We start from the raw sequence: 27,928 nt of genomic DNA, 5'->3' as shown, positions 1-27,928 counted from the left end.
TTAAGTGTTTGTTACATTAGGGTGAAATTATTTAAGAAAACCTTCAGAAGAAAAAAGTAAGCCATGCACAGTGGCCAGTGGCTCTAATCCAGTACTTTCGGAAGCCAAGGCAGGCAGATCACTTAAGCACAGGGTTTGACACCAGCCTGGGCAACATGGTGAAACCCTGACTTTACAAAAAATACAAAAATTAGCTGGGTATGGTGGTGCACACCTGCAGTCCCAGCTATTCTGGAGGCTGAGGTGGCAGGATCACTGGAGCCTGGGAGGTTGAGGCTACAGTGAGTTGTGATGGCACCACTGCACTCCAGCCTGGGTGACAGAGCAAGAGAACCTGTCTTAAAAAAAAAAAAAAAAAAAAAAAAAGACACTGAATGTCTGCAATTCCATTTGTAAGAACATACTAAAGATAAATTAGAGACAATTTTTTCTCCAAACTTTGAGCTGATCATCTTCTAAACAACAACTAGTTATATTAATACATTACCTCAGCTGAAGACCGCATCATGCCAGTTAAACTAAATTTTGGAAGGTTACATGAGTAGAGCTGATGTAAGTATCTTATTTGTCTGTACTTTCTTCTAGTGACATTCAAGATAACATAAACATCCACACAATTGAAAGAAATTCTTTCGTGGGGCTGAGCTTTGAAAGTGTGATTCTGTAAGTAAGGGGGAAAAAATCCAACAGAGTAACATTTGATTTTTCATTTAGTGATCTCTTTCTCATAATTGGATGCTCCTTTTTTGTTTGGGTAACTTTGGCATTTCTCCACTTAAATCACTCTCCAGTTCTGCGTTCCTCTCTCATCTTTACATTTCAGAATCACAATGTGGAGTCATGTTAATAATTTATGATTCTGGGGTGTGATTCAAGTATTTAAAATTGCTGTTTGAATGATGATCTCCTGTGATACAACATCTGTTCCAAAGGAAAGAATAACTCATGCATCAATAAAGCTAGTTATTGCCTGGCAAGGCTTTTGTTGCCCAAAGAAAAAGATCAGGAAGGAGGCCCAATCAGGAAGATATGGCGATTCCCTCATAACCATGCCAAGCAGTTCCTGTTCAGGCCCATGCTGAGCATAGGATGACTTCTCATTTTCTTGAAACAATCACATTTTTTAATGAGCTTGAGTTACTCTCTCTGACTTTTGGGAAATCTCTTAAAAGCATTCTGTGTTGTTAGTGAAAGACCTTCTACTCTTTTATGCCAGTAGCCCCTGTAGCAGTTTATCCACTCACAAGTATGGCCAAGAAATAGGACACTATGGGCTATCTAAGTATGCCTGGGATCCATGAAAGTTAGATGCACAGAATGACATTTGGGGACCCAGCAATTGCACTTACATCTGTAAGATATGAAAAGCATTTTATCTATTTTACAAACTGTTGTGTTTTTAAAAAAATATACCAGTATGAGTTTTTAAAATATGCCTATATGTACAAAACATAAGTTCCAGTCCATAAAGAATTTTAGCCCCCTTCAGTTGTATGATTCAGAGACCAGGCTGTTGAAAGAAAAAAGAAATAGTAGACAGATTATAACACTTTGATGAGTAAAGCTAAGCACTGTATTTGATGTAAATTAATCACAGATAACAATGGAAAAAGTTTGAAAACAGATTAGCATAGAAATTGAATGTATGGAGGGAACAATAAAATTAAATCAAAGGAATGTATTCAAAATACATAGATATTAGGACAAAAGCTATAGGTGAGTGATACTGAATCATTTCACATAAGCTCATGATATTTGAAGTGAAGGGGTGTGTGTGTGTGTGTGTGTGTGTGTGTGTGTGTTGAGATGAGGTGATGGGGTGCAGAAAGGGTAAGAAAGAGAAAGCAAAAGGAATAAACTAAAACGCGAGCAGAATGAATGATATACAAAGAAAAAAAGAGCAATCATTCTAAGAGGAAAGAAGGAATGATTTAATCTCACTAGTCTGTGATGCGAGGGTTAAAGGAAGAGTTAAACAAGGGAAAGGAAGCTAAGAAAAAGAGGTTGTTTTTAAAATGGGCTTTTAAAGATGAGCAGTAGTTAGCTAGGGAATTGGCAAAGGGCGTGCAGAGGGAACAGAATAATCAAGACCAGGAAGAGCACCTGCCTTTTATAAAAATAAAAATAATCAGGTGGGCGTGGTGGCTCATGCCTGTAATCCAAGCACTTTGGGAGACAGAGGCAGGCAGATCACGAGGTCAGGAGATTGAGGCAATCCTGTCTAATACAGTGAAACCCGTCTCTACTAAAAATATATAAAAAAAAAAAATTAGCTGGGCATGGTGGCAGGCATCTGTAATCCCCTCTACTCAGGAGGGTGAGGCAGGGGAATCGCTTGAACCCGGGAGGCAGAGTTTGCAGTGAGCCAAGATTGCACCACTGCACTCCAGCCTGGGCAACAGAGTGAGACTCCATCTCAAAAAGTAATAATAATAAAATAAAATAAATAAAAATAATAATACAAAGAGCTTGTGGAAAATAGTGAATACATGAGTCATATTGGCCTGCTGGATTGTGAAACAAACACAACAGTAAAAGGATTCCTGGGTTACTTCACAGAGGGAGATTGGTGATAAATGTAAACATTTATACCTAGATGTTTATGTTTATTTGGATCTTTCTTGAAATATATGTTCATTTTAAATAGACTTAAATGAATGTTATAATATGGCAAACTTATTCAATTTTTTTATAGAAAATATATAATTAAGTGGGAGTGTGCTCATATCATTCTTGTAGTTTTGCATAGTGTGCTTATATTGTTCTCACAGTATCATTGATCTGACTTTTTTGTCCAGACCGTAAGACAGAAGGCAAAGCACTTTAAGTGACCTGGTCTCAACTCTCCCCAACTAGAGGCAAAGAACCTGAGGAAATAAGAACTTCTGACATAGCTTTGCAAACCCAAAGCTACAAGGGAAACATATAGATCCTGTCTGCTCTTTCCTAACTCCTGTTCATGGACACTGATCTCTCAGAATTTAGGAACACACTTTTCAGGAAAGGAGTTTTCTTTTAAGAGTGAATGTTTCTCAGACATGTCTCTAAAGGATAAACTCACTTTTGTGGAAACAATTTCTATTGTTCTTATTTTGGCTGTCCCTTAATCCATAGACAATAAAATCATGTAATTCATACTTAACACAACTTAAGTCTCCAATCGTTTCTAGTTTGGCAGCTTCGATGCAGGGGTGTTTTCTTCCCATGGGGACATTTGAGCACACTCAGAAAAAAAAAAAAAAAAAAGCATGGCAAATGGCGCTGATGACTGTTGAAGTATTCTATGGATAGCAATTTTCAAAATTCTGGGAATACTACACAGCTATAAAAAAGAACAAGATCATGCCCTTTGCAGCAACATGGATAGAGCTGGAGGCCAATATTCTAAGCAAACTAACACAGGGACAGAAAACCAAATACCATATGTTCACTCTTGTAAGAGCTAAACAATGAGAACACATGGATTCTAGGAAAGGAACAACAGACAATGGGGCCTACCTGAGGGAGGAGAGAGAGGATCACAAAAAATATCTATTGGGTACTATGGTTATTACCCAGGTGATGGAATTATTTGTCCACCAAACCCCATGACGTGCAGACTACCTAATGTAAAAAACGTGTACATGCGGCCGGGCGCGGTGGCTCACGCCTGTAATCCCAGCACTTTGGGAGGCCGAGGCGGGTGGATCATGAGGTCAGGAAATCGAGACCATCCTGGCTAACAAGGTGAAACCCCGTCTCTACTAAAAATACAAAAAATTAGCCGGGCGCAGTGGCGGGCGCCTGTAGTCCCAGCTACTCGGGAGGCTGAGGCAGGAGAATGGCGTGAACCCGGGAAGCGGAACTTGCAGTGAGCCGAGATTGCGCCACTGCAGTCCGCAGTCCGGCCTGGGCGACAGAGCGAGACTCCGTCTCAAAAAAAAAAAAAAAAAAAAAAAAAAACCTGTACTTGCTCCCCTGAAACTGAAAGTTGAAAAAAATTCTGAGGCCCTGTTCTAAAAGTAAATGTATTTTTAAAGCAACCAGCAATGAAAGATTATCAGACACTAGCCTAGTGAATCAGAGAAGTGAGCAATAAAAACCCACTGTGTAGAGGCTTCTGAGCCCTTCTGCACCCGCACTGTGCCCTGGTAAGCAGAGTGCCTGAATGGGGAAAGCACCTAGCTATGGCCAGCCAGGAGAATAATGTCCTAATTCAGAAGAAATAAAATGAGTGATATGCGTTACAGTGCCCAGCACACTCGGGCCTCAGGAGAGACCTGCTTCGTGCGTGTTTCCTCTGTTCCTCAGTCTGCCCGTCTCCCTTGCCTGCCCCTCAATGAGTTTTAAAGGGCCAAGTCCCCAGCACCTCCACTCTTTAGGATGAGAGCAAAGTTCACTTCTGTAGCTTCCTGAGCCTCTGCTGAGTGAGCACACTGGCCTCATCCCCAAGGACACAAAAGGGTTAAGGTAAGCCTGTGATGCAGTAACTCCTTAGTTGATGTTCTGCCCAGGTTGTTGTAGTCATCGTCATCATCGTCATCATCGTCATCATCTGGTTTTCAAATAGGTACTTCCTCTCTTAAGAGACCAGGGGTGCGTGTAATAAATGTGGGTTTCCCTTTGTTACTAGCTTGAGATTCCCACAGATAACGTAAATCCAAGGGCAGCAGTTCTGAACATAATTTGTTTTTTTTGTGTGATGATCCACTGCTGATATCAAGAAATACCATCCTCCTCCCCATATAATGGTATCTGTTGATTGAGATAATCCATAAAGACAAAGGGATATTTGAATACAATAATTATTTAAAATTAGTTTATGTTTTATTTGATTATAGCAACATCGATTTACAGGACAGTAATATGCAAGAAATATTAATTATCTAGTCAATAGGCAAATAGGTGGAACCTGTATGGATTAAGGGTCAGCCAACTACATATAACCCAGAGGCCAAATCCAGCTCATGAGCTAAGACAGGAAACACTAACATTAGATCTAAGTTAAGCAAAATGTTATCCCCCACTAAAAATTCTCTTCTCAATATTAGGCCTATATTACAAAAAAAAAAAATACCCAATTATTACACTTTGAATTTGGTCAATAAAAAATTGTGGTAATTGTTTTATAAGTACATAAAGTACTTATATAATATTTTTTATTTTTGCCTTTTGGCCCATAAAACCTAAACTTTACTATCAGGCCCTTTACAGAAAAAGTTTGCTGAATCCTGTATTTGATTCAAATCCCCAGGGATCCACATGCCACAGCTACCTCAGCAACTCCCACTATCCTGCAACAGTCAGGAGTCCAGATGTGCCTGGGAGAGGCTTTCTCAAATGGCATTGGGGGTGCATAGCCACTTCTTTGCCATCAGAACCCACCAATTGATTGTGAATGTTTTAAAAGATTTGCCTCGCCCCTTTCTGGATTTTTTTAGGTAATTGGTTTTCAAGAGGAGGAAAAAGACATACAGTTGTTCTCCTGTGATTTTAAGTGTTTTCTGGCTACCCATGGCAGCCCAGGAAAGAGAGTCCTGGATGCACAGGAGCTTCTCTGGGTCAGCTTTCTGTACAGTGTTATTTGCAAGCCCACTAAGCTGGACAGGGAAAAGAACCTGACAGCAAAACAAGAGCAGGTAGTCAGAGGTTCTTCGGGCTAAGCTCTCCTGACCTTGGTATCTGTTTTTGTTTTCAGATCCACTCAGGAGCAGAGCAAGGCAGAGCTGTAGCCCAAGGTGTCCTTGGGCTCCCCTGTCCAGGGAACCCTGCTCACTGACCTTCTTAGCGCAATCAGGATGGCTGTTCTACACCCATCTCCACCTCCCCCAGAACCTCCTCCCCTGCTCATTCAGATCACCTCACCCTGCCACAGCCCACATTCTCTGTAATTGATTTCTCTTCCTTTCTGGCTTAACCCAGAGCCACCTCCACAAACCTCCAATAACCAGGTCCCTATGGGTCACAGGAGATGTTCAGGTTGTCTGACAACTTAATTAGATCACTTTTGATGACAGCCAGGCCTGCTGCTGTGGGTGATCATGGGTGAAAGGCTTAAGGCCTTAGAGAAAGGTGACACAAAATGTTCTTTCTCTGTCTTATAAACACTTGTTCAATAATTGTACGATTCCTGTCCTTCAGGATGAGAAAGATCTGTCGCTCCCCGCATTGCTTCTCTACACACAAATGATGTGTGTAAAGACCTTACAGTTATAGAATCCAGGCTGCTCTGCCTAAGTATGCCTTTCAAACTTAAATTTCATTTAATCCTTTGAATAGGTAATACATGCAAGTAATACAAACTTCAAAAGTTACAAAAGATTATACAGCAATAAATCAGTCTTCCTCCCACCCGTGTCCCCAAGCTTTAAAAGTGGCATTTTCTTTATGCCACTAACCTGTGCTGTCTGCCCTTGCTCAGTGCTTCCAATTATGAAACCCGTGTATTGTTTGCATCTGACATTATTGGTTTTTTAATAGGCCTTTTATTTCAGATGGCTGAATAAGAATGGGATTCAAGAAATACACAACTGTGCATTCAATGGAACCCAACTAGATGAGCTGTAAGTAGCCCTGACTATTCTTCAAGGCCATTTAAAGGGAAATGGCTCTTACAACAGCAATATTTATGTGGCTTTGTGTTTTCCTTCTTCTTTCCTCAACCCCATCCCCAGGAATCTAAGCGATAATAATAATTTAGAAGAATTGCCTAATGATGTTTTCCACGGAGCCTCTGGACCAGTCATTCTGTGAGTAGCTTTCCCCATTTCTGTGTGTAAGAGCTCAGTTTGTGTAAGTTAGAAGTCAACTCTCTGCAGCTAGGGGAGAAGCTTCCAACACAGGGCTGGCCATCAAGTTCAATTTTTATTCGTGTCATCTGCAAAAATTTATAGAGACAATTTAAGGCTTATCCACGGTCTAACTCTCCATTAAAAAGCAACACTAATAATAACATGTAATGAGCACGTACAGAGTGTCAGATGGCGTTCTCAGAAGTTAAGATGCATTTTCTTGTTTAATCCTTATAATCACCCCCTGTGGTAGGAGCTATTATTCCCGTTTTACAGAAGGAAAAACTGGCTTCCCTGGAGAGGTTAATTCACCCACTCAAGGTTATACAAGAGTTACAGCAGGGATTTAAACTGATCTAACTCATGGTACAGACCCACAACCACTCGATCATGTGTCTCTTCCCTGGAAAGGAAAGCACAATTCTCCATCATCCTCAACACTCAGGAGGTTCCTTCAACCCAATGAGACCTATATACACATTATTTTTGGATCCTCTTTCCAAATCCCTTGGGATGCATTCCGTGCCTCACAGCCCTGCATCAGCACCCCTCCCTCTTGTCATTTCCTTACTTCCATCTTTCCCTCCAAAAGTGACTTTCCCATCTTCTCTTCTTACCTACACTGCCCCTTCCATCAAGCATCATTCCAAAGTCCTCTACCTCCTCAAGTCTCTCTGACAACCTCGCCATCAGTGACTTCTTCCCGTGGCTCTCATGGCCTTTAAGGCTTCTTTGGTGGGGGGACAATCTGCATCACAATCACAAAAAGGCTTTTTAAAAATGTGTTCCTGGGCTCTAAGCAAGACCTACTACACTTACTGACTGAAAAAAGTACTTCAAGATGAAGAAAGGAACCCAAAAGGAGAGAATGAGGTACAAGAAGGAATGGTGAGCAGAGCAATAGATAAACATGTTAATAAATCTACAGTTTTACTGAATGATCCTTATGTAGCCTGCCTTAAGTCAAGTCAGGCGTTTAGAAGCCACCTGCCTGAACCTCTTATTTGGCAGTTAGCATAGGCTACCATGTGTGGTTATCTACCCACCTACCGACCAACCATCTATCTGCATCACTTTTGTCTACACCAAATAGCTAATATTCTCCTTCAGGCTGGAACCTGTGTACCTCTAGAATTAGACTTGGTATGGAGAGTCAGAATTTTAAATATTTATTATTAATGATAAAGGGTGTGTTGTGATCTATATATGAGATTCTGCTGCTTTGAAGAAGAAATATACACTTCAAGGTAGATTTATCATCCTGACCATGTTCAAAGATTATTCGAGAATGCCTGGCTTGAGATAGGCAACCTATACAAATGGAGTATCCGTGTGATTAAAGCGGAGATACAGAGCAGACTGCCTTGGTTTAGACCAATTCTTTTACCTCTCTAAGCCTTGGTTTCCTCACCTAAAAAAAATGGCCAAAACAATACCTATTTCCTAATATTATTTGAAGCATAAAACACACACACACACATAAATATTTTTTCACTCATCAGATAAATTTTTAAGCATCAGTCTTGTGCCATGCAGGAAACAAAGGAAAGTTCCTCCTCATAGAAAGCTTATATTCTCATTGGGGGTGGGAATAGAGAGGAGTCAGGCAATACATTAAATATACAACTTAATATATCAAGTCATGATCTATCTATGAAGTACAAGGAAGGACCCAGGGCTAACAAATGGAGAGTGTTGGGCATATAGTCCATGTACTCAAGAATACAAAGTACTCAAAACTTGTACTGCTTAGTTCATGTACCCTGTTCTTAGAGTACTCGGGAGACAAATGAATTTTGACAAGTACTTTTGATGTCTTTGATCCCCACAATAGCAGCATGTCAGTTTCACTTAGCAAAAAGCCCTGAAAGTTTTGAATGTTCCTAAGAAGGCATCTCTATCTGTTCATGGCAGAATATGTCAGTGATGGGTGTGTTTATATATGTGACCTGTACCAGGTACAATATTGAATCTATAGCATCTTAACCTATCTGCTCCCGAGAATAATGAAGTTGGATGAGATCCCCCAACTCCTTCATTATCCAACTGAAGAAATCAGAACCCAGAGGAGAGTGATCTGTTAAAGATCACACTGCAACTAGAAGGGGCAGAGTCTGGACCAGAAACTAGGTCTTCTGCCTCACATTCCATGTATTCCCACCATACCATGTTGCCATAAATACGTTTAATTGAACATCTAAAAGTTATTCGGTGAGGCCCCCTGAAACTGGTTGTGAGCTAAAATAGAGAGGAAAATAACTATTAACACCAGCCTCCCAGCCTAAGAACACCAGTCAATGTTAGATAAACGTGGCACAGAAGAACATCTCCTGAGGTTGCACAAGCAGATTCCAGGCGAAGATACTGCACAATGTATCTCATAAGAATGTTTAACAGAGAACACAAAACTTGAATCCCCCATCTAGCCCCACTGTGAACGCAGGCAGGAAGAGAGCCTCTGTGAAAGCATCGGAAGCAATTCTACAAGGTCCTCAAGTTATAGGCCCATTGTTTTGTCCTTCTTACCACAGGAACACATCTGTCTAGAATTAAGGGAATACAATTTACAGAAAATCCATGGAATTAGGAAGCACTCCCCATGACTTAAAAAGGTAGAGAGTGATAATACATTCCCACATATTTCCATCTCAGTGCAGGATCCTGGCTGGAAGCCCAGCCTATAATTGCGAATTTCCTCTTTTCCCCCTGGGGCCAAAAGAATTGTTCACCTTAACATCAAGCCCCCCTTTCTGGGGCTTTCAGATCAGTCCATAGATGTTCTTCAAGCCTCTCCCCCTGCTGACCTGAGATGCAAGAAGACTAATAGCTTATTCCACATCTCACTTCTGCATCCAGATACACTAAACCATCTAAACCCTGGCCTGAGAGGTGCTTGTGTAGGTGTGCAGTAGACCAGCCCACCTCAGGTGATGAGTTAAGAGGTAAGAGTAGGAGTATGCGTAGGCTATTCAGACCACAGTAGGTGCAAATCATGCTGATCTTGACTGTGCCTTGGGTCAGATTGCAGTCCCCGCTCCCACACACACACACACACACACACACAAAGACTGTGATATATCTGCATGCGGGAGGTTTACCGGAGGGTGCTCTCAGAATGTACAGGGAACCCTTGATGGAAGCAGAATCAGGGTAATGCATTTGCAACAAAAGGCTCAGCTGATCCCATGGGGAGATCTGGAGTTAAGATGGTCCTTCAAAGTTGTACTGAATTAAGGTAAGGGGCAAGTCCTCCATATCAAGAATTATTGGGTGCAGGCTGTCCCTGGGGAGGAACCAAACTCCTGGGGAGGAGAAAGTCAGCTGAGGGCAATTCCCAGAGTAGACTCGGCTATGAGCCACCTCAGCTGTGAGTGGTTCTCAGTTGTCCTAGAGCAGCATGTTCAGAGTTGAGTAGGTTTTGGGGGGGTGTTTTTGTGGTTTTTTTTAATCACCCATGCTGGAGTGCAGTGGTGCCATCATAGCTGACAGCAGCGTTAAACTCCCGAGCTCTAGTGATCCTCCTGCCTCAGCCTTCTGAGTAGCTGGGACTACAAGCGTGCACCACCACACCTGGCCATTTTTTTTGTTGCAGAGACAGGGTCTCACTATGTTGCCAAGGCTGATCTCAAACTCCTGGCCTCAAGTTATTCTCCTGCCTTGGACTCCCAAAGCACTGGAATTACAGGCGTGAGTCATAACACCCAGCTCCCACCTTTAGAATTTTTGATTCAGTAGGTCAGGGTTGAGGCCTGATAACTTGTATCTCTAACATCTTCCTAGTGAAACTGATGCTGCTTGTCCAGAGTGCTCTCTGAGAATTACTGCCCTAGGACCAATATTGGGAATTGGGAAGCCTTGCTCAGTCTCCAAAATATCTCCTCCACAAGCCAAATGTGGTGAATCTTCCTCCCTCACTGGCTCAGTCCTTTTTCTCCAGTGGATATATGCAAGGAATTCTAAGAAAATTAAGGGGCACACACTCAAACTGATGATAGCTGCTTTCCTGAAGGCAAAATTTGTAGTTGAGGGAAGAATAGGGAGCCTCTGAACACCTGAGGGTGCAAGGGTGCACTGTTCCACACAAAGAAAGATAGATGCAGAGAAAGCCAGGGGCATACAAACAAGTTTCATCGAGTTTCAGAGGAGCAGCTCAGCATCCTCATTTCCCCCTTGTGAGTCTTGACCTTGAACATCAGCAGCCATCTGAGTTTTTACCTGATATTCTGAACTCACTCAAGGTTGTTTTTTTTTAAGCAATCGAACAATTGCTGTTTCTTTGGGAAACAGTTTCCTGTGGGGAAAATTTAATGCATTGCCTTTGCAGGCTGGAGCCAGTACAATCATATTCTGATGGTTTATCAAATTGATTTGGCTATAGCTCAGATTCATTTGATAGTTCAGATTCAAACACTGAGTTATTTGTATAAGAATGGTTCTCTTCCATTACCAGTGTACCCACAGTCCTATAGATAGTAAATTGCCTTTTTATCCAGCCTGGGATCATGAAAGAGAGGTCTTCTAGCCATCTGTCAGTGTAGTATACACCAGAAATGTGCTCTCACTTATGGAAATGATTGACCTGTAATAACATCTTTGCTGGGAAAAATAGAAATTGTTCAAATCAAATTTGTGGCACTGGCTATAACACACTTTATTAAATGGGGCACAGAGTGCTTTTTAACTCCTGCCTCTCCTGCCTCAGCCTCTTACTACCCTCCTACCCATGCAGTCTCTCTTGCTACTCTGTATCTCAAAATGAAGAGTACTAACAATGTGGAAACAATTTTAAATTACTAAGTCTCTTCTGTGCAAGTCATAATCCCATGGGGTATCCACTGGTCTTTTCAAGATTTAAATTCTCAAAACTACTCACTATCTGAATATAGCATGTGTTGCAACGTTAAAAGTGATATTTTTAAAAGAAAGACCAAAATCATTAGAAGAGACCAGCCTGAAAGATAAAGTTTAAAAACACCAGTCCACAACTACCCCTCCCCGCTTGTCCAGCCCACCAGTTCCAGGCACAAGGGCAGGAATAAAGTAAACATTCTCAAGCACTCATTGAGGGCATCAAGTCTTACATGACATACATTTAGTGGATGTTGATTAAACACCTACTGTGTGTCTGGCAAGGGGTAAGAAATATATGTGAAAACAGAAAACAGTACCTACTGTAATGCATCTGGCCAAGGGATGAATGTTACTCCCCAGTACAATGAGCACTGCAGAAATTTTCACAAATGGCTATAGTAATATACAGCAGATGCCTAATAAACCCTTGTCATCATGTCACACAATGACTTTTAACACGTGAAGTGATAGTGTGGGAGGAGACAGCCTCTGTCATCCTAGGCCTGAATTTCTGCAAAAGCCACGTTGTCCCCTTCCTACCCTCAGTCCTTTCCCCTTCCATTAGTTTACCAACTATTTATTGAACACCCACCATATGCTGGTATCAAGGTTCTCAAGACTAATCTTACAAAAATCCAGCTTTGAATAAACCATTCTTCTGCTCATATAAATCCTAAACTCTTCTGCATGACTATCAAGGCTCAGAGATCTAATCCCGTCCCATGGTTCCCTTTACTCCTCCAAGTATGATTGCCCAGAATAACTATTCTAAATAACCCTCCCTCACTGTGCCATGATTTATGTTCTGGGCCTCTCTCTAAGCCTATCTTTAGCAAATAGTCATTGTATTAGTCAAGGTTATTCAAAGACAGAAACGAGAGAGAGAGAGAGAGAGGAGAGGGGATTTTATTATTATTATTATATTTTAAGTTCTGGGATACATGTGCAGAACATGCAGGTTTGTTACATAGGTGTACACGTGCCATGGTGGTTTGCTGCACCCATCAACCCATCATCTACATTAGGTATAACTGAAGGAGACAGAGACACGAAAAACCCCTCAAAAACGTCAGTAAATCCAGGAGCTGGCTTTTGGAAGAGAATAACAAAATAAACAGACTGCTAGCCAGACTAATGAAGAATAAAAGAGAGAAGAATCAAATAAACACAATAAAAAATGATAAAGGAGATATCACCACTGATCCCACAGAAATACAAACTACCATCAGAGAATACTATAAACACCTCTATGCAAATAAACTAAAAAATGTAAAAGAAATGGATAAATTCCTGGACACATACACCATTCCAAGACTAATCCAGGAAGAAGATGAATCCCTGAATAGACCAATAACAAGTTCAGAAATTGAGGCAGTAACTAATAGCCTACCAACCAAAAAAAGCCCAGGACCAGACAGATTCACAGCCAAATTCTACCAGAGGTACAAAAAGGAGCTGGTACCATTCCTTCTGAAACTATTCCAAACAACAGAAAAAGAGGGACTCCTCTCTAACTCATTTTGTGAGGCAGCATCATCCTGATACCAAAACCTGGCAGAGACAAGAAAAAGAAAAATTTCAGGCCAATATCCCTGATGAACATCGATGCGAAAATCCTCAATGAAATACTGACAAACTGAATCCAGCAGCACATCAAAAAGCTTATCCACCACGATCAAGTCAGCTTCATCCCTGGGATGCAAGGCTGGTTCAAAATACACAAATCAATAAACATAATCCATCACATAAACAGAACCAATGACAAAAACCATATGATTATCTCAATAGATGCAGAAAATGCCTTCGACAAAATTCAACACCACTTCATGCTAAAAAGTCTCAATAATCTAGGTATTGATGGACCGTATCTCAAAATAATAAGAGCTATTTATGACAAACTCGCAGCCAATATCATACTGAATGGGCAAAAACTGGAAGCATTTCCTTTGAAAACTGGCACAAGACAAAGATGCCCTCTCTCACCACTCCTATTCAACACAGTGTTGGAAGTTCTGGCCAGGACAATCAGGCAAGAGAAAGAAATAAAAGGTATTCAAATAGGAAGAGAGGAAGTCAGATTGTCCGTTTGCGGATGACATGATTGTATATTTAGAAAACCCCATCATCTCTGCCCCAAATCTCCTTAAGCTGATAAGCAACTTCAGCAAAGTCTCAGGATACAAAATCAATGTGCAAAAATCACAAGCATTCCTATACACCAATAATAGACAAACAGAGGGCCAAATCATGAGCAAACTCCCATTCACAATTGCTACAGAGAGAATAAAAATACCTAGGAATACAACTTACAAGGGATGTGAAGGACCTCTTCAAGGAGAACTGTGAACCACTGCTCGAGGAAATAAGAGAAGAGGAGATTTCTTAGGGACATTGGCTCACATGGCTATGGAGGCTGAGGAGTCCATGATAGGCTATCTGCAAGCTGGAGAACCAGGGAAGCTATAGCATGGCTTGGTCCAAACTTGAAAGCTTCAGAACCGGGGAGGCCATCTAATTCTCAGTCCAAGCAAGAGGCCTGACGTGCCTGTGTCAACAAGGAGACAGACATGCACTGGGGAGTAAGTAGAATGATACATTGGGTGGACTGACTTGAACACCATCCAGTGTTCAGGTGTTGGATTGGGAAGAGGCCTGAGAACCAGGGAAATTGATGGTATAACTCTGAGTCTGAAGTCAAAGTCCTGAGAATCCAAGGGGGTGGGGGAGGGAAACTGGTACAAATCCCTGAGTCCAAAAGCCTGAGAACCTGGAGTTCTGATGTCTAAAAGTAGGAGAAGAAGGGGTACCCAGCTTCTGGGTGAGGGCATATCTTCCTTACTCAATCCATGGATTCACATACCAATCTCTTCTGGAAATACCCTCAGACACCCAGAAATAGTGCTTTACCAACTATCTGAATATTCTTTAATCCCCTCAAGTTGACACCTAAAATTAACTATCGTGGTCACAATAATGTACTCCCATGAAGATGTGAATAACTGATGTCTTTTTTTGTTACTACCCCCCACCCACGCCCATGTATATTTGCATCATAAAAATGGAGAGTGTTTTCATAAAGGAATTAAAATCAAACATCTGATTTTTAGGCCATGCAGAAGAACTGTAGCCAACAAATAGACCTGTGTGTGTATGAGTGTGTGTGTATGTTTTAGGAGAACAGAGCAAAAAAGGGAATATACTATAGTTAAGTCTCTAGCCAAGATCTGAACAAGATCTACTTATCTCATCTTTGTCCCTGGCTAATATAAATTTCTATGGAATTTTCTTAATCCATGGAGATACTAGAGATATGTTGTATTTTCTGTCAGTTCAAAATTTGGAAGTCTTGACAGGTTCCATGTTTGATCACTTCAGACAGTAAGCTTTAAGTAAACACCTCCACAAAGACTTTTATTTCCCTGTCATCCAGGAACCACTTTTGCTTAAAAATTTGCTTTACTGAACTTTAAGTGACTTTGCCTCTTTCTTACCAAGAGCTCCCTCCTTCAACATCCACCAATGAAAGATCTCAATCCCAGGGCACTGACAAGATGCCTTCGTCTCACAGCATCAAAGCCACCATGTGCAAATGGCAGCAGCACATATGTCTTGTAGCCGTGATAAGAAGGAATCCAAAATAACAAGCTAGCTCCAGAACACTGAGCAACGGAAAGGCAATGAAGTTTACCAAGGAGGCTTCCCAATCTAACACCTAAACACTGGATTGCATTCAAGTCAATCTACCCAGTGTATCATTCTGCTTACTCCCCAAGGCATGTCTGTCTTCTTGTTGGCATTGCACAAGGTTGCTCCCTTTCTTGGTAACTTTTATATTCTCAGCCACATATACTTACCTGCTGCAGAAGCACCATTTTCCTGAGCTCACTTTAAGTCTAGATTTCTGGATTTCTCGGTCTGCCTTTCATTCATCTCCCCTTAGAATTAGCTCTTTTGTAAAATTTTCTCCAGCCTCTCATTTTTATTACAATGCTGAGTCATGTCTGCTTATCAGACAACTACTTACTCAATAGATTTCATGAGCCCAAATCTATGCCAGAAATGATACAGAACACAAAAGCCTGCTCTCAGGGCACTTGAAATCTGGCTGAGGAGACAAACAAACATACATGAAAAGACAACCATAGGAAACAATAGAAGACATAACACAAGGTGCAATATTCTGCAATTTCTGGAAGTCGGAGAACATCACAGTTGGCTGGGGTGATCTGTCTATTTCCTTTCCTAATCCTTCTCCAATGTCACTCCCCAGTATATCTTCTAACAAAGCAATAAGTTTCTGGGTACTCACTACATGAAAGGCACCGCTGAGAATGCGAGAGCCTTATACCTTCAAGGAGAGATAAAATACAAATAGCTAGTACATAAAGCAAAAGATAGTCAGTGGTAAAAGAGGCAGAAAGTATACAGACTATAATGCTATCGCACTCTTACTGGTTTTCAAGGAAAAAATACTTCTTCAACTGTTAAACATTATGGAGACCTCAGTGGAGTTTGTTTTGGTTCTCTATTGCCTCATTAAAATTTAATGGCTTAAAACAACCATTCCATTTTGCTCACAATTTTGTGTCAGACATTTGGATGGCTGGCCCTGATCCATGCAATGTCAGCTCAGGCGGCTGACTGCGGGGCGGGGGGTCCACTTCCAAGTAGTCCCCATCACTTATGTGCCTCACACATCTGTGTTTATTGGGTGTGTGTGTGCATTTGCATGTGCATTTGCATGTGCATGTGTGTGTGTGTGTGTGGTGTCTTCTCTAACTCTGTCCATACGGGTTCTCATTCTCCAGGACCTGTCTGCATGGTTTAGGCTTTTACCAATATGGCAGCCTTAAGGTATTCAGAGATCTTTCATGGCAGCTGAAGACTCTGTTAAGACCAATGTAGAAGATGTCAGTGCTCTTAAAGGCTAGATCTATAATGAATAGCAACATTTCTATCATATTCTTTTATCCGAAGACATCACAGTTCTGCCCAGATTCAAGGGGAGAACAAATAGACCCGCAATGGGAAAGAGTGTAAAAGAATTTGCAGTCATCTTTAATCTACCACAGAGTATATGAGATAATGGGATGATATTCCATGGAGTATAAAAATTTGTTTCTCTTTAGAATCTTCAATTAATCCAATTTTTATACTGTAAACTCAAGGGGGAGACATAATCAAGAAAAATAACCTGCTTTGTATTGCTCGTTTTGAAAAATGTGAAAAATGTTCATGAGAGGCAATGATGGTCTTGGTCTAAATTGTTCCTAAAGGACTTCTAAAATGTTTTTTTTAATCTCATTTCTTGGAGGGAGTCCTGAATTGTTATAGACAAAACAGGGAGTTGGGTCTCAACCTTTGTTCTTTCCACATTTGAGAAAAAAAGAGGAACCCAAATGACAGATAAGAACTCAGTCACAGAAAACAGGGCAAGTGTCACTAACAGAACTGGCTAGAAGAGGCGTTGCCAAAAGAGAGAAACCAGAAAGATCTCCTGTAGCAAAGAAAAAAGTTGGAAATCTCTAAAACAATGGGAAGTATAAATGGAGAGAAGGCAGAGACAGCAGCAGAGATCAAAGATTCATCAAAGAGACAAGGGTTCATGGACCAGACTCTGATCTCCAGGGACCCCAAATCTGAAGAATCATAATAGGGAGGGAGCTAGACAAGATGCCCTGGACCACCAGAACGTTTACCTTGTGGTGATAGCAATGAGTGTTGTGAGAAGTAATTAGATTCCAGATGTATGTGGTATAAAAAGTCAAGAAGTTTTTCTGAGAGTTTTGATATAGGGTATGAGAGAAAGAGAGGAGTCCAGGTAGGCATCAAAGTTTTTGCATGAACAACTGGAAAGGTGGAACAGATTTTCAGAAAATATCAGGAAGGCCATTTTTATTATTCAAAGTCTGACCTGCATATTAGACAACTAAGTGGAGATTATAAGGAGGCAATTGAATATGACTCTGGGGTTCAAGAAAAAGAAGCAACCCAGAAATACAAATTTTAGCGCCATCAGCATATAAATTGTGTTTATGTCATAAGACTGGATAAGCTTATCTGCAGAGTAAGTGAAGATTGAGAAAAGAAGTCTAGGCACTGAGTTCATTGGCACTCCTAAAGTTGGAGGTCATGGAGGAACCAGCAAATAAGAAGAAACTTTCAGCGAGCTAGGAGACAATTATTACTAGAGATACAGAAAGTTACCAGGAAGGCATAAAATGTATAAATTTGTATGAGCCTTAAAAAGTCATCAAACATATAAAAGGCAAAAATTGACAAAACTAGAACTATACAAATCCAAAATCATTGTTGGAGATTTCATTATAATTTTCTCAGTAGTGATAGAACAAAGAAGCAAAAAAATCAGTAAGTATATAGGAGATTTGATCTAATTGACAGCTAACAAAGAGGGGACTATGTATAAAATACACACACATACAAATGCACACACACCTAACAAAGGTAATTGTTCTGAAAATGTAAATCTTCCTGAACATCAAACAGGGGATCAGTAGTCCAGAGATTGGCAATAGTAACCACTACTAACCCTAGGACTTGAGGAACAAATGAGGAAGTCATCTTACTGATGTCCAGGAACTGGGGCAACTGGTAGAAGCTGGATCCTCCAAGGATCTGTTCAACGAGAGCTGAAGTCACAGAGAAGACTCAGTTGCTGCCTGAGACAGAGAAGGGATGAGATTTGCACTTTTACCTATTCTCCAGTATCCCACTAGTGCCATTTGCTAAACCCAATTGAAAGCTGATTGATAAGGTGGTACCTGGGAAATGGAACTGCAGGGATCATCCTTCCTGCAACACAGAGAAGAGCGTAGAGAAGGGCATAACATGGATGTGGGAGAAAAGAGGCAAATGATCAACACACTGTATACAGTGACTTGTCCTTCATCCTAAGAGCAATGGGGAGTCATTAAAGGGTCTTAAGCAGGAAGTCACAATCTAATAGGCATTTTTTATATCTGCAGTACTAAGATTGCAATAGATGGTCATGAGGGCAGTTATAAGACCTTTGCATTTGTCTAGGCAGAGATTGTGGTGACTTAGACCAAAGTCACAGGAGAGGAGGGAAGTAGGCTGATTTGAAACACATTTAAAAGTTAGGCTTGAGAGAACAAGACACTGATGTCCCATGAGGGAGTCAAGGATGGCACCCAGGTTTCCATTATGAAAAACAGGGGAAACTGGAAGAGTCATTTGCTGAGATGGAAAAAACAAGGAGGAACATATTTACAAGAAAGATGGTAACTTCAGTTTTGATGCAAGTCATCAAAATGGTGGAGTTCAAAGAACAACTGATTATGTGGACCTGGAGCTCAGGAGTAGGATCTGAATGGGGACACACATTTTGGAAGCCATCAGCACATGCCTGGTATCTGAAACTAAGGGAATGAATGAGATCACCTGAAAAGATTGGGTATAGTCAGAAGGGGTCTAGGTATAAAGATATACTAATATTTAAAGAACAGATAAAAGAGAAGTAAAACAAAAGCATCAGAAAGAAGTCAACGGAGATGTCAGAGGAAAATATGTCAAGGAGAATATGACGCCAAGAAAGAGAGTATCTCAAAAAGAAGGAGCATTCTACCTGTGAAATGTAATTACAAAATCAAGGAGATCAGAGCTAAGACATGGCCTTAGTGAGTACTATTTCCCGAGAGGCTGAAGAGAAACTCAACTGAATTGTGAGATGAGGAAATAAAAGCATGAACAACTAGTATAAATTTGCTTGGGAAATGGAAGTGACAAATAAGGCAGTAGTTAGGGATGGGTTTCACTGGACAATAGGAAGCCATTATAAATTTTTGAGCAAGATAATTATACAATGAAAGCAAGACTTTGAAAATGTAATTTTCACCAGATTGTGAGAACATATGGGGTAGCAAATATATATTCACACCCCCAAGTTTCATTACTCTGAGTGCCTACTGCTTTGATTTACAGGGAATGCCAACATTAAAAGACTCTTCTTACTCAAGTATATCCAAGGGTCCCCAAGGATGCTAAAATGAACTCATCCTGGTCATCACTTGCTACCATCCCCATCAGAAGTACCCACTCACGGCCAAGCTGTTGGCCCCACCAGGTCCAAGCTGGTGCCATTTAAATCTCCTTGTTCTCACCAGCCGGTCTTGGTTTTGAAGGTTGCAACTACCAGTGGTGCTGCCAGAAAAGCGCCCACATCACTGGTGCTGCTGCCAGAAAGGATGGAACTTGCAGCCCATCAGGGGCAGGGACCTGGTTAAACTGGTCATTTGTGCTGAGGTCTAATGGACAGGCAGAGACTTTCCTACCAAACAAGAACAACTTTCTCTCTCTCACACTCAGTGTTATGTTTACTAAGAATAGTTGCCAGACACTAAGTGTTGTCTGTTGGTCAGGAAGTTCTTTATGCACTTTAACTCATCTAATTTTAACAACAACCCTCTGAGGTACACATAGGATTTTTGTCTTCCCATTTTACAGCTGAGGAAACTGAAACATGGAGAAGTGACATACTTGACCAAGGTCATAAATCTAATAGGGAGAGGGGCAAGGTACATATGCAGGCAGGTCTGCTGTAGACGCCAAGTTCGTAACCACCACTCTGTACTGCCACTTGGACTTTGTGCTAACACTGCCCCTACCGCCTGCCAGACTCTTCTTCCTCTTGTAGTATATTTCCTTCTTGTCCCTTTTTCTGAAATTTGGCCACAGATTCTACTCCAGCTCATCAGAAATATTTTTATAGCTAGTTTTATGGTACAGACAAATGGTCTCAATCCCTTAGTCCCATGCAAATTAGCAGGTACAAATAGACTGTAGAAGGGAAGGTGGCTAATTCTACTCACCAGCAACACTTAGGCCCCAAATTAGCCAGGATGTAAGTATATCCAGGAATCAGAGTGGCCTGTTATCTAACTCCTCCTACCAGGAACAGAAGGACCAGGACTCCTACAGAACCAAATGTCCTATTAGCCAAATATCCATCTGGCCAAGGTGTGTTGGAGGAACCGGAGTCTCTCTCCTCATCCATGTAAGAATATCACTAGTGTGTCTGCTATTTTGCCTGCTAACCAAGAGCAGAAAGTTTTAGGTCCATAGTAATCCTGTTATATTTACCTTTTCTCTTTATAGAGATATTTCAAGAACAAGGATCCATTCCCTGCCTAGCTATGGCTTAGAAAATCTTAAGAAGCTGAGGGCCAGGTCGACTTACAACTTAAAAAAGCTGCCTACTCTGGAAAAGCTTGTCGCCCTCATGGAAGCCAGCCTCACCTATCCCAGCCATTGCTGTGCCTTTGCAAACTGGAGACGGCAAATGTGAGTCCATCCTTTAAGCCCTGCTCAGGCATTTCCCCAATGTAGAACTTTGTCCACAATTTCTACCTATCTGTGACATGAAGAGAATCTACTTGCAGAGAGTTCCCTGTCTCAAGCCCTTTGGCACATTCTGGGTCAAAAATTCAGTTCATGGAGAGTGAGGAATAGTTGAACTCTTTCATTTCTTTGAAAGTGGGCTCACAGGAGAGGGCTACCCATGTGGCAGAACATATACCAAGTACTAAATGAGAAAACATGAAAAATACTAAGCATAGTGCCTCAGAGTTGGTGCATAATATCTGTTCCCTCTTTCCTTTGTACCATTATAGATTTAATCCTTCAAGTCCCAAACTGTGCACCTGATAAATGCCCCATCCGTGTCATCTTTGGTGGGGAGATGCATAAATGCCATGCCAGAGACTGATGTACATATCTGCCGCACATCCCAATCACTCTAAGCCTCTCTAATCCACCTTGGGATCTTCCTACCTCACAGGGAGGATAAAGATTAAGACATCTCATTACTTTGGCTTTCAAAGAAAGCCGGGTTCAAGGAAGCCCAGACTTAAAGAGGGCCATCTAAACAGAGACAAGTCTTAGTAGCTAACTGGTTAAAAAAGTGAGGTAATCATAGACAGGATCTGGAAAGAGTAAAGAGAAAGTCGCCTTGGAGATTGTACACATGTTCCAGACATTTAAATGATCCATTGGAGGTAAGAACTTACTGAGTATCAGAGTTCTCAAAGCTCTCACGCTCCTCTGAGCTCACCTACATAAGCCACACCATGTAGTTGCACTCATCAAATGATGTCTTTTCATTACTCTTATATACTAGCCTAGAACTAATACAGCTTTCCTATGATATTATTTCTCTGTTTAACACAGTCTCCTCCATTATTCAACCTTTAACATACATTGACCAGTCCATGTGGACATATTCCTTGCTCCAAAGCAAAACAAAAAGAGCAACAAAACAGTACCCACCCTAAAATGTTTTTCAGAGTAGCTGGAAGTCCCTACTCAGACCCTTTTGGAGGATTTGTAGAAAAATAGCTGTTTTTCAGAATCTGCATGCATCATTGGGATATTATCCAGAATGGGCACTCTTCATAGATCAGCTCAAGAGCCAGGAAATTTCTTCCTGACAATCAGAATTCTTAAGGTCCTGGGCTGAAGCAGTGGCTTGCCTCTTTTATATTCCAGATAAGAATTATTCTATCCAGAGTGAGAAAGATACCAATTTTGCACCAAGTCCATGGGACTGAATACCCCAAAGGAGAAATAAAGAACATTAAGATTGGCCAGGCAAGGTGGCTGACACCCATAACCCCAGCACTTTGGGAGGCCAAGGCGGAATAACTCCTTGAGCCCAGGAGTTTGAGACCAGCCTGGGTAACATGGTGGGACCTCGTCTCTACAAAAAAAATGAACAAAATTAGCCATGTGTGGTGGCGCATGCCTGTAGTCCCACCTACTCGGGAGGCTAAAGTGGGAGGATTACTTGAGCCCAGGAGGTCGAGGCTGCAGTGAGCTATAATTGTGCCACTGTACTTCAGCCTGGGCAGCAGAGTGAGACCCTGTCTTTAAAAAAAGAAGAAAATGTTAAGATCACTGTGAGAGCAGCTTGCAGTGTGCTATTTGGCCCAGTTCCAACACACCCCAAGAATTTGTTGTCTCATCGTGTTACTCAGACTCCTCTAGACATAGCCTCAAGGCTCTCCCAACCAGAATCTCCACATCTACCTTATATTGTCACAGGACATGAGGTCTTCTCTGATCCCTCCAGACCACTCGGCTCTCATCCCTCTAGGTTGCTGCTCTAACTTACCATCCAGGCCTGTTGGGGTATAGCAAGGGAGAGGAACATGGTTCTTACACTACATGCCAAAATGGAGTAACAAAAATTGTGATAGGTGGTTTTCATTTTTTATTTTTAGCAATGGGTATTTGATTTTCATATTTATCAAATTCACACACAAACAACACAAAATAATTGTTATTCAGAAGATAATTTCAGATTTATTCCTTCAATAGTGACATTTCATTGTATATCATAGTAGATGTGGTTTGGTAGCGGGATTCAAGTTTTAACTTGTATGATGAAATTCTTCTTTTGATCCTCATTTGGAAATAATGCCCAGAGTGTAAACATGAGGCCCCTGTGACTAAAACTTTGGCCAGTGGTCCTCCTGGACTCTTCCTGGGCTCTTCCCAAAAGTTCGTATCAACTACAGTCTTCATTTGTCATTGAACCTGATATTTCCTTGTCATAATTCTGTATTCATTTTGCATTACTTTGCTCTCATTTTATTCTTCAATTTTTAATGTTAAATACAATAAAAATTGTGTTTCTTCACAACTCAATGTTGTGAAGGCCATTTCTTCACAATTCAATATTAAATTGACATGCTGTTGCATATGCTTCTAAGTACCCACACAGGGCCTAGACCTCAAGAATTCCATAAGTAACCACCATCATTTGTCTTCATACTGCTGACATTTGCCAAGTATTCACTACCAAGCACTGTAATACTCTGTATCTTTATTTCATTTAATTCCCACAATGGTAATATCATTATTATTCCTTTCTCACAGAGACAGAAACTAAGGCTCAGAGATACTAAATAACTTGACCTACACTGACCAAACAGATCCAAATCTGGTCTGCCTGCCTCCAAAGCTTAGGCTCTGCGACACTGCTATGCCACCCCCAAGCATCTGTTCACTGACTGATCAGAGTCCAAGAGTGCCACTTTTTCAACTGACCCTAAACTGAATTCCCAACTCCTTATGATAATTAGGATTTTCCAAAGTACTGCGGAGGCAAGACTTGATGTCCTTTGGTTTCCACTTTTGTTTCTGTTCTTATCTCAGAGACATAAGTTATTTACTTTTCTCCTTACTTCATGTCAGTGGGTCACTTCAGTTTCAGAAAAAGAGAAGCACAATATTTAAAATATATGGACAGCAGTATCAACAATAAGAACCTTCACAGACAGCGACCATAAGCCATAGGAAGTGAAGGCTGTTTCTAGAGAGTTAAGTCAGAGCTCAGTCCAATGAACCAAACTGCAGTCAGCAAGTACCAGGTTACTTACTTTCTCTTCCTGGAATCAGGCTGCAACTAATTCAGTAACAGGGTTTAAGAGTCTAGAGTTAGACTAAGGACCACAGGATACCCCTCTTCTCCCCTCTATACCCATTATGGAGCTTGCCTCACCTTTCTTGGAAGACCATTGACTAAACCAGAACATTTTCTGGGCTCCGTTTCCATTCACTTTCAATTCTGTGTATGTTAATCATTTAGCCTTAAAAAAACAAACAAACAAAAAGAATCCCTTAGGCCAAGAGAAAATGACTTCCTGGCAATTCAATTCACTTCCCAGGGGTGAGAGAAGAGAGGAGAGCACTCTTCCTAACAGACCCTTCTCATCCAGGTTGATGGGGCAAGGTTCAGTCCCTGTATAATAGGTTGGAACACCTGGCAAGACTCATCCTTTAGCATCAAATGGAGTCTTTACCTCCTCCACTCCCCTAGCCACCTTTTTCCTTCTTAAGAAGGTTTGATACTTACTTCGCCACTTATATCTGAGGTTATGTCAAGGTTTAAAAAAAATACAGTCAACTTAATATTGCTGTGAACTTGCCCCTTGGGGAAGGAGGGAAAGGTATGCATGTGTATGTACAATTTTTTTTTTTTTTTTGCATCCAAAAAGGTCCTAACGTAAGGCTTATTCCCATTCCACAAGCCTTTGCTTCCAAACAGAAGTATTACCTTTCTTGTTTCTACATCCAGAGTATTGATATACTACTCTGGGGTAGAATATTTATGGGTATACTCGTGGATTGAATATTTATCACCTGGATTTCATTCAAATCCCTCTGTAAGTACCTCTATCCTGTTGACAAGGCCCCTTGTACATTTGGGTTTAAAGGCAAAACCAAGACAGTAAAGTGAGCCCAAGGAGAGCTAGGCTGCCCAGAGGATGAGTTCCATTCTTAGAATAAATTAGGTCCTTTTGCAGCTTGCATTGTTCTTTGGGGCACTCACTAGGAAACTGTTCAATATGAGAGAGCCAGGCTTACCTTGCAGACAAGCACATGCTGAGGCCTATTGTGGCCCCCAGAAAGTGAGATAATAAAGAACAGGAAAGACCCTGGTAACATTTCCGGCAAATTAGCTGGCCTCCTAATAGCCTGAGTACCAAAGAGCCAGGGAATAGGGGCTGGCTGGGAACTAACTACAGATTTTGATCCCCTAATTTATGTAGATAAGAGAAGCAAATAAGTTCTCATTTGAGTCAGCGAACAGTCTGGATCTTCCAGTGATTTGAGTGTAGACGAATAGGAATATGTCCTACTCAGGTGTATTAAGAGATAGCTGGATCAAGATGGGAGAAGGAAAAGGGTCGAGTTGATGCCAGCTCTGTAAATTATTTTCACTTAACAGCAAGGCTTAGTCTCAGGTGCCTTCCTCCCCACATTCAGGTTGTGGCAAGATGGTTTCCCCAGTGAGCCATCCAACTCTAGTAATATATATACAAGTTGTTATATTCATTTACAGTAAGCAGCATTAACCCTTGAGGTTAGCCTCAAGGGCAGGTATGATGTGAGAAGAAAAAAAAAAAATCTCAGGAAGAAACTCATCATTTCTACCCTGCACAAAGACAGTGATGTATTTGCTATACTGGATCTGAGATGTTGATTCTATTTCTTTTTGTATTTTTCTAGCTCTGAGCTTCATCCAATTTGCAACAAATCTATTTTAAGGCAAGAAGTTGATTATATGACTCAGGCTAGGGGTCAGAGATCCTCTCTGGCAGAAGACAATGAGTCCAGCTACAGCAGAGGATTTGACATGACGTACACTGAGTTTGACTATGACTTATGCAATGAAGTGGTTGACGTGACCTGCTCCCCTAAGCCAGATGCATTCAACCCATGTGAAGATATCATGGGGTACAACATCCTCAGAGTCCTGATATGGTTTATCAGCATCCTGGCCATCACTGGGAACATCATAGTGCTAGTGATCCTAACTACCAGCCAATATAAACTCACAGTCCCCAGGTTCCTTATGTGCAACCTGGCCTTTGCTGATCTCTGCATTGGAATCTACCTGCTGCTCATTGCATCAGTTGATATCCATACCAAGAGCCAATATCACAACTATGCCATTGACTGGCAAACTGGGGCAGGCTGTGATGCTGCTGGCTTTTTCACTGTCTTTGCCAGTGAGCTGTCAGTCTACACTCTGACAGCTATCACCTTGGAAAGATGGCATACCATCACGCATGCCATGCAGCTGGACTGCAAGGTGCAGCTCCGCCATGCTGCCAGTGTCATGGTGATGGGCTGGATTTTTGCTTTTGCAGCTGCCCTCTTTCCCATCTTTGGCATCAGCAGCTACATGAAGGTGAGCATCTGCCTGCCCATGGATATTGACAGCCCTTTGTCACAGCTGTATGTCATGTCCCTCCTTGTGCTCAATGTCCTGGCCTTTGTGGTCATCTGTGGCTGCTATATCCACATCTACCTCACAGTGCGGAACCCCAACATCGTGTCCTCCTCTAGTGACACCAGGATCGCCAAGCGCATGGCCATGCTCATCTTCACTGACTTCCTCTGCATGGCACCCATTTCTTTCTTTGCCATTTCTGCCTCCCTCAAGGTGCCCCTCATCACTGTGTCCAAAGCAAAGATTCTGCTGGTTCTGTTTCACCCCATCAACTCCTGTGCCAACCCCTTCCTCTATGCCATCTTTACCAAAAACTTTCGCAGAGATTTCTTCATTCTGCTGAGCAAGTGTGGCTGCTATGAAATGCAAGCCCAAATTTATAGGACAGAAACTTCATCCACTGTCCACAACACCCATCCAAGGAATGGCCACTGCTCTTCAGCTCCCAGAGTCACCAGTGGTTCCACTTACATACTTGTCCCTCTAAGTCATTTAGCCCAAAACTAAAACACAATGTGAAAATGTATCTGAGTATTGAATGATAATTCAGTCTTGCCTTTGAAGGGTATGTCACAAAGAGCTGACAGTGCTTCTACACATTTCATCTAATTTAATATTCCTGGCATACCTTTAAGGTAAATTGGTCAGGAACTATTAATTCCATGTGATACATTAGGAAGCTGAATTATTAGTAACAACAATAATAATTAAAGAATGCAATACTGTATTACATATTTTATCCTTATATATGTTATTTTTGCACGTTATGTTCAAAGTGCTTTTGTTCAGATATCTCAAGTGATCCCTGTTAAATAAGCAGGACAGGGATTATTCTTGGAGTTTTACAAATGAGGAAACCACGACTCAAAGAGTTAAGTGACTTGTTCAAAATTGTTTAGTTTGTAAGAGGCAGAGCCAGGATTAGGTATTCCGACTCCCAGAGAATTTCCCAGAGAAGCACCATGGTATTCATTCATTCATTCATTCAACAAATATTAATTGAACACCCATCTGAAGCCTTTGTAATGCGTCAGTGTGGATAGGCTGAAATACATTTCCCAGATTTCCCTTCCTCATGTGTTTCCAGTTAGTGTGGGCCATAGTGAGGACTCTAGGAAAACAGGAGGGCAGAGGAAAATGGCAGCCATTTTGTAGCTCAGCACACTCTGTTGCTGATGCTGACTCAGCTCACTGCTGTGAAGCAACGGCTGGGTCTCCAATTGCTCCACCTTTCCCTGGATCCTCCTTCAGGTTCTCAGACTCGTCCTGGGCCAGGTATATTTGTTAAGCTCCATGATAAAGGCTCCAACTTCTGTACGGCACTTTCATCACCAAGGTCAGAGGCAACAAGAATGTAAGCAGGGCTCAGGGTGTGCTTGTGGAGTTCTACCTGTGCTGCTGCTTCCAGCATGCTGTGATCTTCCCTTTATGATCGCCCACCCTGAGGACTTCTAGTTCTGGCATCAGCTGTGGAGACATCCTTACAAAGACAGGTTAACCAGCTCCCCACAACTGTGTGAGCCTGTAA

At 41.5% G+C, this 27,928-nt stretch overlaps 1 protein-coding gene across 6 annotated transcripts in view; it reads left to right on the top strand.

Moving 5' to 3' along the window:
• The window catches only part of FSHR (follicle stimulating hormone receptor), a 192,359-nt gene extending 164,876 nt beyond the window's left edge, over positions 1 to 27,483 (top strand). For 3 of the 6 annotated variants that reach the window (XM_011532733.3, XM_047443867.1, XM_011532735.3), the window contains 6 exons: positions 586 to 663; positions 6,474 to 6,542; positions 6,654 to 6,728; positions 20,554 to 20,655; positions 20,757 to 20,942; positions 25,674 to 27,483. In XM_011532733.3, coding sequence (XP_011531035.1) covers positions 586 to 663; positions 6,474 to 6,542; positions 6,654 to 6,728; positions 20,554 to 20,655; positions 20,757 to 20,942; positions 25,674 to 26,907 — 1,744 coding nt within the window. In that variant the 3' untranslated portion in view covers positions 26,908 to 27,483. Of the gene's footprint in view, positions 1 to 585; positions 664 to 6,473; positions 6,543 to 6,653; positions 6,729 to 20,553; positions 20,656 to 20,756; positions 20,943 to 22,145; positions 22,275 to 25,673 lie in introns of those variants that run through there. The other 3 variants (XM_011532740.1, NM_000145.4, NM_181446.3) reach the window with 3 other exon arrangements.

Source organism: Homo sapiens, chromosome 2, assembly GCF_000001405.40.
Source record: "Homo sapiens chromosome 2, GRCh38.p14 Primary Assembly".
In the NCBI taxonomy this organism is placed as follows: domain Eukaryota; kingdom Metazoa; phylum Chordata; class Mammalia; order Primates; family Hominidae; genus Homo; species Homo sapiens.
Note: the sequence above shows the minus strand (reverse complement) of the source record. Positions and strands in the feature narration are given on the sequence as shown.